The sequence below is a fragment of the Homo sapiens genome, chromosome 7, assembly GCF_000001405.40.
Source record: "Homo sapiens chromosome 7, GRCh38.p14 Primary Assembly".
Classification (NCBI taxonomy): domain Eukaryota; kingdom Metazoa; phylum Chordata; class Mammalia; order Primates; family Hominidae; genus Homo; species Homo sapiens.
In genome coordinates, this window is record NC_000007.14 from 72,874,834 (window position 1) to 72,890,522 (window position 15,689).

The window sequence follows — 15,689 nt, forward strand, 5'->3', positions numbered from 1 at the left end:
AGACAACTCTGTGGCAGGGAGAGGGAAAAGAGGCTCTTTGTTTTTGTTTTTTATTTTTTATTTTTTTATTTTTTGAGACAGAGCTTCACTCTTGTTGCCCAGACTGGATTGTAATGGCTCAATCTCGGCTCACTGCAACCTCTGCCTCCCATGTTCAAGCACTTCTCGTGCCTCCGCCTCCAGAGTAGCTGGGACAATAGGCACACACCACCACACCCAGCTAATTTTTGTATTTGTAGTAGAGATGGGGTTTCGCCATGTTGCCCAGGCTGGTCTCGAACTCCTGGCCTCAAGTAATCCACCTGCCTTGGCCTCCCAAAGTGCTGGGACTACAGATGTGGGCCACCATGCCCAGCCCTCACTGTATGGATTTTCTAAAAAAAAAAAAAAAAAGATTACATTTGTCTTACTTGCCAAAAGGGAAATTAACCTTATCTCCTCTCCTTTTTAAAGAGTATTTCCTTGATAAACCTTGTAATATAAATAACTTCTTTTGTGCCTTTGATATGTACCTAAATCTTTTAAAAAGGTAAATGAACTTCTTGCCAACATTACAACCCAGGAATTTTTTTTTTTTTTTTTTTTTTTTTTTTGGAGACAGAATCTCGCTGTCACCCAGGCTGGAGTGCAGGGGTATAATCTCGGCTCACTGCAACCTCCACTTCCCGGGTTCAAGCAATTCTCCCATCTCAACCTCCTGAGTAGCTGAGACTACAGGCGTCTGCCACCACGCCTGGCTAATTTTTGTATTTTTAGTAGAGACAGGGTTTCACCTTGTTGGTCTGGCTGGTCTTGAACTCCTGACCTCAGGTGATCCACCAGCCTCGGCCTCCCAATGTGCTGGGATTATGGGCGTGAGCCACCGTGCCTGGTCACAATCCAGGAATTTTTTTCTTAAGAGCCTAAGAGTCTTGTCTTTGAAATGTAAACCTGGAGGAAAATAGTGTCCCTATCTTCCTGTTGCCTAGGGAGTTTAGCCTAGGCAACTTGAGCTGTTACTACCTGCTTGTCAAGGAGATGTGAGAAGTTTTATTTTTTCATTGGATATAGGTAATTAACTAGCATGGATGGCCACGTTGATTTCCAGGTGAATTTAGGATGAGTGTTTAAGAATGCATAGCAGGCCAGGCACGGTGGCTCACACCTGTAATCCCAGCACTCTGGGGGAGGCTGAGACGGGCGGATCACTTGAAGCCACACAGAAATCGAAAGAAGGAGTTTGAGTCCAGCCTGGCCAGTATGGCGAAACTCTGTCTATACTAAAATACAAATATTAGCTGGGCATGATGGCACATGTCTGTAATTCCAGCTACTTGGGAGGCTTAGGCACGAGAATCACTTGAACCCAGGAGATGGAGGTTACAGTGAGCCAAGAAGATCACACCACTACACTCCAGCCTGGATGACAGAATGAGACCCTGTCTCAAAAAAAACAAAACAAAAAAAACTGCATAGCAAGTCCTTTTGCATGAGGATGAGTTACTATTTATCTTGAGAGCATGTATGCAATGGATTGTATCTGCCAGGCTATATAAAAAGGACACTTTGGCCGGGTGCAATAGCTCACGCCTATAATCCCAGCACTTTGGGAGGCCTAGGTGGGCGAATTATGAGGTCAGGATTTCGAGACCATCCTAGCTAACATAACGAAACCCCATCTCTACTAAAAATACAAAAAATTAGCCAGGTGTGGTGGCACGCACCTGTAGTCTCAGTTACTTGAGAGGCTGAGGCAGGAGAATCGCTTAAACTGGGGAGGCAGAGGTTGCAGTGAGCCGAGATCGCACCACTGCACTCCAGCCTGGGCGATAGAGCAAGATTTTGTCTCAAAAAAAAAAAAAAAAAAAAAAGGAGGGTTTATTTCTCTTTGCATCTCATTAATGGATCACCTGTGATGGGCATCACAGTCTGGTTTAATGCTTATTCAATAATAAAATTGTTTTCTTTATTTTCTGAATTTGTGGAGAGAATATTCTAGGTTAACAGAATAATCTATTTATTTACTTATTTATCTTGAGATGGAGTCTTGCTCTGTCTCCCAGGCTGGAGTGCAGTGGCCTGATCTCGGCTCACTGCAATCTCTGCCTCCCAGGTTCAAGTGATTCCCCTGCCTCAGCCTCCCAAGTATCTGGGACTACAGGCACGCACCACCGCACCCAGCTAATTTTTTGTGTTTTAGTAGAGACGGGGTTTCACCATGTTGGCCAGGATAGTCTTGATTTCCTGACCTCATGATCCGCCGGCCTCGGCCTCCCAAAGTGCTGGGATTACAGGCGTGAGCCACTGCACCTGGCCTCAGAAGTATTTATTTTTAGTCTTTTCCTTACCAGTTTTTATGAAACAACTGGGCAAGAACACTGTTAGATTTCACCAAAAAATTGTGATGAATCATTGTCTTTATGATCCCATTTTTGAAAACTGACATTTTAATTGTAAACCAAAAATAAAATTCTAAGCCCCCACAACTGACTCAGTGGACTCCCCTGTTGGCCAACAGGATCCAAAATAAACATGGAAAACTAATTTAGGTCATGATGGGAAGGAGGGGGTTGGACATGCCTTGTCATAATTCTCCTCCCGTCAGAGTTTAGGCACAGCTGACCAACATTATGATCTCTATTAGAATAGAGATCATAGGACTGACAAAACAGGCTCTTTTTATCAGTAAGATACCCATCTCCAACCAGACTCTGACATAGCATCACATGACAGATAGCAGTCCCTGAAGTAAATCACAGTATTTTACCCCATAACATATTTTCTTTGACAAATTTTAAAATAGTCCTGCAAAGCCATCTCTTTGGGGGAAATTTGCATTCTGTAGAGAATCTCTTTCCCTTACAGAAAAGACTCCAGGTCTTTTCTGGAGAGTCTGACACCTTTTAAGATCCAATAAGAGATATTTATCATCTATTCTCTCTGAAGCCTGTTCTGAGGCTTCACCTACATAACAAGAACCTTGGTTTCCACAATCCCCCTTATCTTAACTCAAACTTTTCTTTCTTTTTTTTCCCTCCCTCTTTCTTTTCCTTCCTTCCTTCCTCTCTCTCTTTTTCTCTCTCTCTCTTTCTTCTCTGTTGCCCAAGCTGGAATGCAGTGGTGCCATCATGGCTCACTGTAGCCTCAACTTCCCAGGCTCAAGCGATCCTCCCACCTCAGCCTTCTGAGTAGCTGAGTCTACAGGCATGCACCACCACACCTGGTTAATTATTTTTTTTTGTAGAAGTGGGGGGTCTCACTGTGTTGCCCAGGCTGTCCTTGAACTCCTGGCCTCAAGGGATCCTCCCAGCTCACCCTCCCAAAATGCTGGGATTATAGGCATGAGCCACCGCAATAGCCCATTTCTTTATGTAGTCTTCCAGCTGTTCAGCCAACACTTAACTCTGAACCAACTGCCAATCTTTCAATCTACTAGTGACCTGAAAGCCTTTCCTGGCTGACCCAACATATACTTCCCGTGTATTGATTTATGTCTTTGCCTGTAACTACTGTCTCCCTAAGATGCATAAAACCAAGCTGTAACCCAATCACTTTGGGCTCACGTTCTGAGGACCCCCTGAGGCTGTGTCACCAGCCATGGTCACTCAAATAGGAGGCCCAGAATAAAACTCTTTACAGACTTTGACTCTTTTTGGTCAACATAACCTAACCCTAAACATAATCCTCCTGGGGAAGGTAAGATCACAGGTATCTCTTCTTCGTTCAGTTTGTGTGTGTATGTCCTTATTTCTCTACAGTTTTTAGGCATTCGCTGTGTGATCTAGAAAAGCTATGGAGTCTCGCTTTGTCGCCAGGATGGAATGCAGTGGTGTGATCTCGGCTCACTGCAACCTCCACCTCCCAGGTTCAAGTGATTCTCCTGCCTTAGCCTCCCGAGTAGCTGGGATTACAGGCACACGCCACCACGCCCAGCTAATTTTTGTATTTTTAGTAGAGACAGGGTTTCATCATGTTGGCCAGGATGATCTCTATCTCTTGACCTCGCGATCTGCCCGCCTCGGCCTCCCAAAGTGCTGGGATTACAGGCTTGAGCCACCACACCCAGCTACAAATTCTATTTTCTTTTTGTTCCTTGGAAAGCATCGCTGGGCATTTATCCTGTCCCAGTATTTGAGTGAAACTTCTCAGCATTTCAGAGCAGTGACCATGATACACCCTTTCCTTTCCTTCTCCTTATGGGAAACTTGGTTCTAACCCAGAGGACTTGGGCTCCAGGACCCAGTAACGCAGCCCTGGACTTGACCCTAAAAGGGAGTAAAGACAAAGGTGAAGTTCAGTCTGGGGTTCAGGGCTGCCAAAGCTCATAGCCTGGAGCTTCTTAACCTTTAGGCGGGGTAGAGACATTTAAGACGGCCCCTAAACTTGGGGAGCGCGTAGGCTCATAGGAAATAGAGTCCGTTACTTGTCCTGGGAACGGCGGTGGGTGTCCCAGGAGGCGGACTTCCGGTGCACTCCTGCGCGTGTGCACCTCTCCCTGCGTGCGTGTTCGCGCGTGCGTGCTCGCACATGCGCGCCACCTCCGCACTGCCCTCGCTTCCTGCGCCTCTTCAGGTCACCGCTTGCTCTAGTTCCCAGGCTTTGGCCTCTAGTGGATGAGAATCACCGAGTCTGCGGGGCTGGACGCTGACCGCCCGGGCCAGCACCTAGGCGGGCGGGAGCTGTGCGGCCCAGGGTTCGCGCGGGCCGGGTAGAGGCTCGAGCCGGGACCCCCGAGCGTGAACCCCGGAGCCAGCGGCGCTGGGGCCAGAGGGGCCAGGCGGGAGGTGGTGGCGGAGGCGAAGGGGCGACGGGACCTGGGCCTGGCCCGTGTGTGTCCTCGGCGGCCTGGCGCCGGCCGTCGCTGTACGGTGAGCCCCAGGGAGGCGGATCTGGGCCCCGAGAAGGACACCCGCCTGGATTTGCCCCGTAGGCCCGGCCCGGGCCCCTCGGGAGCAGAACAGCCTTGGTGAGGTGGACGGGAGGGGACTTCGCGAGCAGACGCGCGCGCCAGCGACAGCAGCCCGCCCCGGCCTCTCGGGAGCCGTGGGGCAGAGGCTGCAGAGCCCCAGGAGGGTAAGTCTTGGGTTTTCGGGCCCGGAGCGAGAAGGGCCTGAGTGAAGTCACCGTGTGTTGGGGACCTTAGAGTGTGGGGCAGAGGGAGCGTCCCGATTGCTTGCCGGAGAGACATGTGTTGGGTTTGAGGGCAAGGTCCGGCTGCACCGAACAGGCGCTGCATGGGAAGATCTGGGAGGACAAGGCTTACGGAAGCGTGGAGGGTGTCACCACCCTCAGCTGCGGACGTCATCTCCACTCCCCGCTAACCCCTAACAGTCCTTCCTCCTCCTCTCTGTGCTCCAGATTTCGACCGCCTCTAAACGTCCGTCAGCACTTCTATTCTCTCACTTAAGTGTCTGCTGATCACCCCCTTATATCTGCCCTGGGAGAATCGTAGTAATGCAGGAACAGTCTGCAGGGATTCTCTGCTGCTGCCTCAGTTGCTAGGGGAAGAGACTGGGCCTTAGCAGGTGGGTGACTTGACCAGGTCACCGGCTTTGTGGGTAGAGCTGCTCATAGTAGAACCCAGGAGACTTATCTTCCAGGCCAGTGTTCTTTCTCCCGTATCCTAGTTTTCTTAATAGAAGATTATTAGGTGCAGCAATAACCAACTTCAGTTAGATAATTTAGAAACAAAACCATATTTTATACACATTCATTTCATTTCTGAGAGCTCACATACTCAATTCCTATGGCTTATTTTATTTTAAGCAGTTTAAAGAGACAATAAGAAAATGCGGGCGGGATGCAGTGGCTCACACCTGTAATCCGAGCACTTTGCGGGGCTAGGGCAAGAGTATCTCTTGAGACCAGGAGTTAGAGACCAGCCTAGACAACATGGGGAGACCCTGACTACAAAAAATACAAAAGTCGCCAGGCATGCTGGGATGCATCTGTGGTCCCAGCTACTCAGGAGGCTGAAGTGGGAGGATGGATGGAGCCCAGGAGGTCGAGGCTGCAGAGAGCCGTGAATGCACCACTGCACTCCAGCCTGGGTGGCAGATTGAGACCCTGTCTCAACCAACAAACCACAAAAAACATGAGCCGTATAATGGGAATTTTTTTTTCTTTTTGCACCTTGTATTTGATGATGATGGCAGACTATTTGTAAAAGGAGTCGTGCTACCCATGAGAGTCTAACTCATCTAATTACTACCTGATTATCTTAGAGTTACAGGCGCATGCTTCCCCTATCACTCTTTTTTTTTTTTTTTTTTTTTTGAGACAGTGTCTCTCACCCAGTCTGGAATGCAACAGCGTGGTCTCGGCTCACTGCAACTTCCACCTCCCAGGTTCAAAGGATTCTTGTGCCTCAGCCTCCTGAGTAGCTGGGACTACAGGCATGTGACACTATGCCTGGCTAATTTTTTTGTTATTTTTAAGTAGAGACGGGGTTTTGCCATGTTGGCCCAGGCAGGCGGATCACTTGAGGCCAGAATTTGAGACCAGCCTGGCCAACATGGCGAAACCCTGTATCACTCTTTTAGACCCTTCTGAGTGTTTGCAGGTTGAGTGTTCACAGGGTGTTAGCCTATTGAGCTTTCTTTTGCGGTTCTTATGCAGGTGATTTCTGCCTTTGCAGGCCGGAGCCCTCATGACTTCAGTGACCTGCTTCTGCCCCTCTAGGTCTATCAGCCACAGTCTCTGCAAGTTTCCAAGAGCAGCAGAAAATGAACACATTGCAGGTGAGTTTTCCTGCTTGTGTATATGTTCCTCAATTTTATTTTATGATGCATTTTAAGAGGTTTGTAAGGATTCATACTTTTTTTTTCTTTTTTTTGAGATGGAGTCTTGCTCTGTTGCCGAGGCTGCAGTGCAGTGGCATGATCTCGCTTCACTGCAGCCTTCACCTCCTGGGTTCAAGTGATTGTCCTGCCTCAGCCTCCTGAGTAGCAGGGATTACAGGCGTGCGCCACCATGCCCAGCTAATTTTTTGTATTTTTAGAAGAGATGGGGTTTCACTATGTTGGCCAGGCTGGTCTCAAACTCCTGACCTCAGGTGATCCTCCTGCCTCAGCCTCCCAAAGTGCTGGGATTACAGGCATGAGCCACCGAGCCCAGCCAGGATTCATACTTTAAAATGGGAAAGTGGAAATAGACATTATCCTGTAAAATACAGTTAGTGTGGCAGATCAGCACCAAAAATGATTTGTGAAGCTTGTATGTATGGGTAGTATATTTTAAGGCTGTTGAAATTGAGCCGCACCAAGGACTGATATTCTTGGCAGTCATCACAAAAGGAAAATGCCATCTGTATTAGTCCATTCTCACACTGCTATAGAGAAATAACCAAGACTGGGTAATTTATAAAGAAAAGAGGTTTAATTGGCTCACGTCTGCAGGCTCTATCATAGGAAGCATGGCTGAGGGGGCCTCAGGAAACTTACAGTCAGGTGAAAGGTGAAGGGAAAGTGGGTGCATCTTCCATCACCAGAGCAGAAGGAAGAGGGAACATTGGGGATTACAATTGGACATGAGATTTGGGAGGCGACACACACCGAAACCATATCACCATCCATGACATCGTTTGCATTGATTATAAGGAGAAACCAGTTTTGTTACTTGTGGATTTAAAAGATTTTCTAGGACTTTGAAAAATTTCTTCATTCAAGTTGGTATAATTGTGGATAGCTTTCCTAACAACAACCATTAAATTGCTGACTTATGGCTTATTCTTGGTGCTTATGTAAGCAGAGGGCCTGCTGCCCAAGGAGAACTTGGTGCATATAATTTTTCCAGGGACGGAAATATCGTGATCCAAGTAAACAATTCTGTTTTTACTGTTGAGTCCTAGATCATGGGGGGAATGAATGACGTGATCATCCGTCAAATATTTGTTCGTCTTTTTGTTCGGGTTGCACAGCAAACAATACAAACAGTTACTCTCTTGTGAAGATTTCCTCATTTCTGTTTCTCATTTCACTTCTCAGTGTTTTCGTTTTGTCCTTTTCACTTTGCTAAGTCAGTCAGTAAAGGTGACCAGTGATTTAATTGCAGTCAAATCCAGCGGGCATTTCCTAGCCCCTTCCTCACAGGACCCTTTGTCTGCCTTTGACATCCGTTACTTCCAAACTGATATTTTCTCCATGGAGTCTCTCTTTTCTTGGCTTTTAAAAAGATTCATCTGTAAGTATTTGTTTGTCTTTAAATGGTGAAGTCTGTTTTGTTTTGTTTCTTTTTTTCTTTTTTTGAGATAGGGTCTTGCTCTGTCACCCAGGCTGGAATGTAGAGACGTGATCACAACTCACTGCAACCTCAATCTCCTGGGCCCACACGATCCTCTTGCCTCAGCCTCCTGCGTAGCTGGGACTACAGGTGCATGCTGCCACACCTCGCTAATTTTTTTTGTATTTTAGTAGAGACTGGCTTTCACCGTGTCATGCATGTCGAACTCCTGAGCTCAGGCAGTCTGCCCGCCTCGGCGTCCCAAAGTGCTAGGATTACAGGCGTGAGCCACTGCTCCCGGCCTAGAAATGTATTCTCACTGTATTGCTCAGGCTGGTCTCAAACTCCTGGCCTCAAGCAGTCCTTTCACTTTGGCCTCCCAAAGTGGTAGGATTACAGGTGTAAGCCACCACACCTGGCCAATAAGGAATCTTTTTAAAAGGGGCTAGGAATAACCCATAATACTCTCTTTCTTAATACATGTGGCAGTTGGGTTAAATCTTTTAATAGTTCCCATAGTATGTCTCCTGCGTGCTCATTGTTTTGAAGAAACTGGGTTGGTTATCCTCAGTTTGGATTGTGTTACCCTTGTTTCACCTTTAGCACATTTTTTAAAAATATCTTGTATGCCTTGGTAAAATTGGTAGTTTGATCTGGAAGTCTAATCAGGTTTATGTTCAGTTCTTTTCACACAACTATACCATACGTGGCATTTGTCTACTTCTGGAGGCACGTGTTACCTTCTTTGTTTTTGTGAAGTTAAGAACTATTGACTGTTGATTATTGCTGTGATTTACTATTGCTGTGATTTGCCTTCATTAGGGGAGGCAAAATGGTGATCTGCTAATTCTACCATTTCTTCTTTATTTACTAGCCAACATACTTTTCTTTTCTTTTTTTGGAGACAGAGTCTCACTCTGTCACCCAGGCTGGCACATTTATGGCTCACTGCAGCCTCAAACTCCTGTGCTCAAGTGATCCTCCCACTTCAGCCTCCCAAGTAGCTGGGAGTATAGTCATATGCCACAATGCCCAGCGGATTTTTTAATTTTTATTAGAGACAGGTTTCTCTATGTTGCCCAGGCTGGTCTTGAACTGGGCTCAAGTGATCCTCTTCTTTGACCTCCCAGTGTTGGGATTATAGGCATGAGCCACCACGGCTGGCCTAGAATACTTTTCTAAAGATAAATTTCTATTCTCTATTTGTTTATGTAATTCATGCAGGAAAGACAGTTTCTAAAATATTGAGTAGGCTTTTAAGCAGGAGGGTATTTTGTTTTGTTACCATCATGAGCTCATGGGTTTAAACAGATAGTAAATGTTTCAGTACATAGAAGTTGTGATTCTTTTTGAAAATTAAGTGGTTCCATCTTTGGCCAGACGGAATCCCTTTAAGTTGGTTTCTGAGTCCTTTTGAAATATATTTGATATATATGATAGCAAATATATACATATAATATATATTTGATAGCAAATATATACATATAATATATATTTGATAGCAAATATATACATATAATATATATTTGATAGCAAATATATACATATATTTGATAGCATTATTTTCTATTTAGCATTTTATTTTGAAATCATTTCAGATTTTCAGAAAAATTGCAAGGATTTTACAAAGAAATCCCAGATACTTCCTTTTGTTCAGATACTTCATTCTTAACATTTTCCCACATTAATCATTTATATGCCTATATACGTGTGTGTATATATATATTTATATATATATATTTTTTTTCTGAACTATTTGAGAGTGGGTATAACGTGTCATGCCTCTTTACCCTATAAAGTTTTAGATTGTAGCTCATAAAATCAAGAATATTCTATTAAATATCCATAGCACAGTAATTGAATTCAGGAAATTTATCATTGATTTAATACTTTTATCTAAACTATAGTTCATTTTCCAGTTTTGCCAATTTTCCAATAATTTCCTTTATAGCAATTTTTAATTTTTGGTAGAAGATTCAGTCTAGGACTGTTAATTGCCTTTAGTTTTCATGCTTTTTAAGTCTGTTTAATACGGATTTGTTCCGCAGTGCCATTATAACATTTGAAGAATACAGGCCAATGATTTTATAGAAGTCTTTAAATTTAGGTTTCCCTGATCTTTCTTCATGATTAGATTTAGACTGTGAATTTTTGTCTGGAATGCTACATGGAACCTCTTAAATTTATGGCTCAGAACAGGATCTGTCTTGGGAAAATTCTGTGCATGCCTGAGAAGATGGCTTGTTCTGCTCTGGTTGGGTGGAGTGTTTGATAAATGTTAATGAGATCAAGTTGGTTGGTTGTGTTGTTCAGGTGTACTATATCCTTGTTGATTGTGTGCCCACTTGTATCAATTGTGGGGGAGAGGGGATTGAAATCTGCTGCAGTTGTGGTTCTGTTTCTCTTTGCAATTTTACCACTTTTTGCTTTATGTGTTATGTTAGATACATAAATGTTCAAGGTTATTACGTCCTGTTGATTAATTAACCACTTTGTAAAATGGCCTTCCTTATCCCTGCTAATATTCCAGGCTGTGAAATGTACTTTGTTATTTATGTAGCATTCTTTTGAGTAATACATGCATGGTATATCTTATTCCATCCTTTTACTTTTAACCTATTTGCATCTTTATATCTAAAGTATTATTTCTTACAGGCAGCAAAATTTGGATCTTGCTTGTTTTCATCAGTCTATTTCTGTCTCATAATTGGGGATGTATAAACCGTTTACATGTAATGTGATTATTGATAAAACGAGTTAGGTTATAGTCCGTTGTCTTTGCTTTCTTTTAGTCTCATCTTCTTTGTTTCTTTTTAAAATGTCTCTGTTTGTCTTCCTTCCTTTTGATTAGTTGAGAATTTTTTATGATTCTACTTTATATCTTTTGTTGAGTTTTTAGCTATCACACTGTTTTGTTATTTTAGTGAGTTAGAATTTATAGTATGCAACTTTAATTGTCATAGTTTATTCTTAAGTAATATCCATTTTTCTTAGAATAAGAGAAGCTTACAATAGGACACTTCCATTTCTCTCCTCTTGGTCTTTACACCGTTGTTCATTTTATTTTTACAGGTGGTATCAGTGCCACACACTATCTATTACGTTGTTGTTAATTAAACAGTATTTATTTATTTATTTATTTATTTATTTATTTATTTTGAGACAGAGTCTCACTCTGTCCCCCAGGCTGGAGTGCAGGGGTGCTATCTTGGCCCACTGCAACCTCTGCCTCCCTGGTTCAAGTGATTCTCCTGCCTCAGCCTCCTGGGTAGCTGGGATTACAGACACCCACCATCACGCCCGGCTAATTTTTGTATTTTTAGTAGAGACGAGGTTTCGCCATGTTGGCCAGGCTGGTCTCGAACTCCTGACCTCAGGTCACCCATCTGCCTCAGCCGCCCAAAGTGCTGGGATTACAAGTGTGAGCCAACACACTTGGCCCAGGTATCTTTTAAAGAGATTTAAGTAATGAGAGAAAATACACAGTTACCATTTCTGGTACTCCTCATTCCTTTGTGTAAATCTAAATTTTTATTTGCTGTCATTTTACTTCTGCCTGAAGGAGTTTCTTTAACATTTCTTCTAGTTGATGATGAATTATTATATGTCTGCAAATGTCTTCATTGTGTCTTTGCTTTTAAAGGTGTTTTTGCTGGATTTTTCTCCACAGTGCTTTAAATATGTTTCTCTGTTGTCTTCCTGCTTACATTTTTTTCTAAGAGAAATCTGATCTCATACTCATGTTTGTTCCCCTATATATAACATGTCTTTTTTTCTTCCCCCCTTATTGTTTTAAACTTTTTATCACTAGTTTTGGACAATTTGATTGCAATATGTCATGGTATCATTTTTTTCATGTTTCTGTTTTGGGGATCATTGAACTTCTTGGATCTTGGGTTTATGGTGTCATCACTTGGGGGAACATTTTTATCATTATCTCTTCAAGTACCCGCCACCTCCCCTCCATTGATTCTTGTTGCCTGTATATTAGGCCACTTGAAATTTTCCCACAACACACTGTTGCTCTTTATTTGCTTTTAATTCTTTTTTCTCTGTTTCATTTTATGTAACTTCTGTTGCTGTCTTTATATTCACTAATCTCTTTTTTCCACGATACTGTTCATCTTTTCCAGTATAATTTTCATCTCAGATATTGTACTATCTGTAGAAGGTTAGCGTGGGTCTTTTTTACATCTTGCCTGTCTTGATTTTTTTGAACATTTGGAATAGAACGATGAACTCTCTCAGTGCTCTGTGCCGGTTGTGAACTCTGTGTCAATTCTGGGCCAGTTTTGATGGACTGATTCTTTTCTTCCTTATGGGTTGTAATTTCCTGCCCATTTTCCCATCCCACAACTCTTTCTCCTCACATCTGCCTCGGTTCTTCTTCTCTGCTCCATGGCCTGGAAACGCTCAAGGCAGAAGTTGATTGGTTCACCTTGTTTATTTCCCATCACTCATAGATAACTCTACTGCCTGATAATCAGTGCCTTGGAAACCACTGCTTCAGCCCAGGCATGGTGGCTTATACCTGTAATCACAGCAACAACAACAACAAGGCTAAGGCGGGCAGATCACGAGGTCAGGAGTTCAAGACCAGCCTGGCCAACATGGTGAAACCCCATCTCTACTAAAAATATAAAAATTAGCTGGGCATGCTGGTGCACGCCTGTAATCCCAGCTACTCGGGAGGCTGAGGCAGAAGAATTGCTGGATCCCGGGAGACAGAGGTTGCAGTGAGCCGAGATTGTGCCATTGCACTCCAGCCTGGAAGACAAGAGCGAGACTTCATCTCAAAAAACAAAAAACAAAAACAAAAACAAAAAAACAAATCATTGCTTCGTATATGTTCTTGTTTTATTTTTCTTTCTGTTTTTGATTTTGTTTTTCTTTGGTGTGTGCTGTTTCAGGTTGGAGGGTATATCCAGTACTTGTTAATTTATCACACCTGAGGGCAGAAGTCCTCATGTCTCTGTCTATATGTTTTTTCTAATATATATATTTTTTTCTTTGTAGAGACAGGGTCTTGCTATGTTGCCAAGGCTGGTCTCAAGCTCCTGGCCTCAAGCAATCCTTCTGCCTCAGCTTTCCAGAGTGCTGGGATTACAGGCATGAGCCACCACACCTGGCCTGGATCCAGTTTTATCCATGTCCAAATTTTTTTTTCCCTGAGCTGTTTTTGATTTTCTTCCACCTCATATGAACTGTAGTGTCAGCTTATCTAGTTCCAGGAAAAAGCTTTTTGGTATTTTTATTGGGATTGCATATTTATAAAGTAATTTAGGGAAACTGGTATCTCTGTATTATTAAGTTGACCTTAATAATACAACTAATTTTGTCGTTGTTTTTGGATTTTTAGTAGAGATGGGGTTTCACCATGTTGACCAGGCTGGTCTTGAACTCCTGACCTCAGGTGATCTGCCCACCTTGGCCTTCCAAAGTGTTGGGATTACAGGCGTGAGCCACTGTGCCCAAGCACTTTTACTTTTTCTTAGTTATATTCCTCTAATTGTTTTCTCTTCTCTAATTGTAGATAATGAGCATTTTATTAATACCTTGTTCTTGATCTTAGTGGGAAGATATGTAGTTTTTCCCTGTTAAGTAAAATCCTGACTTTCGGACCGAGAAGACTGAGGCATAAGAGTGTGTGTGTGTGTGTGTGTGTGTGTGTATACACACAAACTGTATATATGTGCTTGTGTGTAATTGAAATACATATGTCACATATCATACGTACTATGGCATATTAGGGTGTAATATTTATATTTGTGTATATAATAATATTGATGTTAATGAAGTATCCATCAGTTTCTATTTTCTTTAGTTTGTTTTTTTAAATCAGCTTTTTCTGTCAAGCTTTTTCAAGTATCTTCATGGATACAAGATTTTTCTTCTTTGCTGTGTTATAGTGGCTTATCATATTAATAGATTTCCAAGTATTAAACTAGTCTATATTATTGGAATAAGTCCTATTTGTCTGTTGTATATTATGTTTTTAATCTGGTACTGGATTTTGTTTGGTTATGTTTCATTTTGGGTATTTGTATTGATGTAAGTGGTATTGACATGTAATTTTATGTTATTTATTGGTCCATCAGTCTTCTAACCCCTACCACCTCCTTGCTTTCTGGACTAACTTAACCCAGAAAGTTATTACTCTCTCTTGGTGATTTTATCAGCTCCTTTGGCCTGCCTGTGGATAAGCTTGGATGTTCTGCTTTAGTTTCTCAGCCCACCAGCCTAGCGGCTCTGCCTCTGCTATCTCTTGGGATCTACATGGTCCTAGCTGTATCACTGGGTTTGAACCCCTTGTTGATATGTTCTTTATAAATAACAGGATAATGCAACATGCTTATTGGGCACTTCCTTTTTCTAAACTACAAGTTTGGGCGGGGCATGCTGGCTCAAGCCTGTAATCCCAATACTTTGGGAGGCCAAGGCAGGTGGATTGCTGGAGCCCAGGAGCTTTGCATTTTTCTTTTTTTTTTTTTTGAGACAAGGTCTCGCTCTGTTGCCTAGGCTGGAGTGCAGTGTTGCATTCACAGCTCACTGTAGCCTTGACCTCCCAGGCTCAAGCCATCCTCCTGCCTTAGCTTCCCAAGTAGCTGGAACTACAGGCATGTGCCATGATGCCCAGCCAATTTTTAAAAAAATTTTTATTTTTAGCAGAGATAAGGTTCTTACTATGTTGCCCAACCTGGTCTCGAACTCCTGAGCTCAAACGATCTTCCCATCTCGGCCTCCCAAAGTGCTAGGATTATAGGCATGAGCCACCATGCCCAGCCCCAACCTCTTAAAAATTGAAGCTGCTTCATGTTTGCCATTGGTACTTTTACACCTCATCATATTCTTCCTCCCCTTCATCCCATAGAATACACAATTCATCTTTAAGGACTTCAAGTTAACTGAGTCTGTGAAGCCTAATCTGATGGCATAAAGTTAAACTAATTTGATCCTCTTTTGTTAAATCATTCTGCACCTTGTCTGCATTACTCTAATAACAGCTTTGGGCATTCATTCATTTAACGAATATTTATTGCTGTGAGATTGAGATGTTTGAGATAAAATCAGTCATGCAGATAGCCAGAGGCCACTGGCTATGAGAATAAAAGAGCCAAAAGAACAAGGAGCTGAAACTAGGTGAGAGCCCCAGAGCAGTGAGTTAGGAAGAAGAAGACCAGGAACTGAGTGGTGGGCACTCCAACATGAGGAGGTCCCGGAGAAGGGGAGCGCCTGGCAGCAAAGAAGACTAAAAGAAGTGACAAGGAGTAAAATGCTTGTGTTTGTTTACATGTTTATCTCCTTATTAGGTTGTCTGCTTTCTGAGAGCAGGCATGGTGTTTCACTCATCTCATATCCCCAAAACACAGTTCAGTTGCAAAATAGGAGCTCAGTTGTGTTTTGGGTTTTTATTTTTGTATATATATAAAGGACCCCAAAGGATATGTGTTTCCAATATGATTTCCCTTCCATAATCTGTAACATAAAAT

At 43.0% G+C, this 15,689-nt stretch overlaps 1 protein-coding gene across 20 annotated transcripts in view, besides 5 other annotated features; it reads left to right on the forward strand.

Annotated features, from left to right (window-relative positions):
- Positions 4,344-4,844: an enhancer, noted in NCBI's record as "H3K27ac hESC enhancer chr7:72349748-72350248 (GRCh37/hg19 assembly coordinates)". NCBI's record gives its function as "activates a minimal SCP1, AML or CMV promoter by ChIP-STARR-seq in primed H9 embryonic stem cells {active_cell/tissue: H9 hESC(primed)}" and the evidence as "EXISTENCE:reporter gene assay evidence [ECO:0000049][PMID:30033119]".
- Positions 4,344-4,849: a biological region, named in NCBI's record as "H3K27ac hESC enhancer GRCh37_chr7:72349748-72350248".
- Positions 4,524-15,689, forward strand: part of POM121 (POM121 transmembrane nucleoporin) — a 72,103-nt gene continuing 60,937 nt past the window's right edge. For 7 of the 20 annotated variants that reach the window (NM_001257190.3, NM_001387699.1, NM_001387698.1 and 4 more), the window contains exon 1: positions 4,524-5,052. The gene's annotated coding sequence lies outside the window, so the exon portion shown is untranslated. Of the gene's footprint in view, positions 5,053-5,337; positions 5,505-6,616; positions 6,720-8,231; positions 8,350-15,689 lie in introns of all 20 variants that reach the window. The other 13 variants (NM_001387697.1, NM_001387694.1, NM_001387687.1 and 10 more) reach the window with 7 other exon arrangements.
- Positions 4,590-4,689: a silencer, noted in NCBI's record as "silent region_18240". NCBI's record gives its function as "represses an Ori minimal core promoter by ATAC-STARR-seq in GM12878 lymphoblastoid cells {active_cell/tissue: GM12878}" and the evidence as "EXISTENCE:reporter gene assay evidence [ECO:0000049][PMID:35858748]".
- Positions 4,710-4,849: a silencer, noted in NCBI's record as "silent region_18241". NCBI's record gives its function as "represses an Ori minimal core promoter by ATAC-STARR-seq in GM12878 lymphoblastoid cells {active_cell/tissue: GM12878}" and the evidence as "EXISTENCE:reporter gene assay evidence [ECO:0000049][PMID:35858748]".
- Positions 5,220-5,349: an enhancer, noted in NCBI's record as "active region_26120". NCBI's record gives its function as "activates an Ori minimal core promoter by ATAC-STARR-seq in GM12878 lymphoblastoid cells {active_cell/tissue: GM12878}" and the evidence as "EXISTENCE:reporter gene assay evidence [ECO:0000049][PMID:35858748]".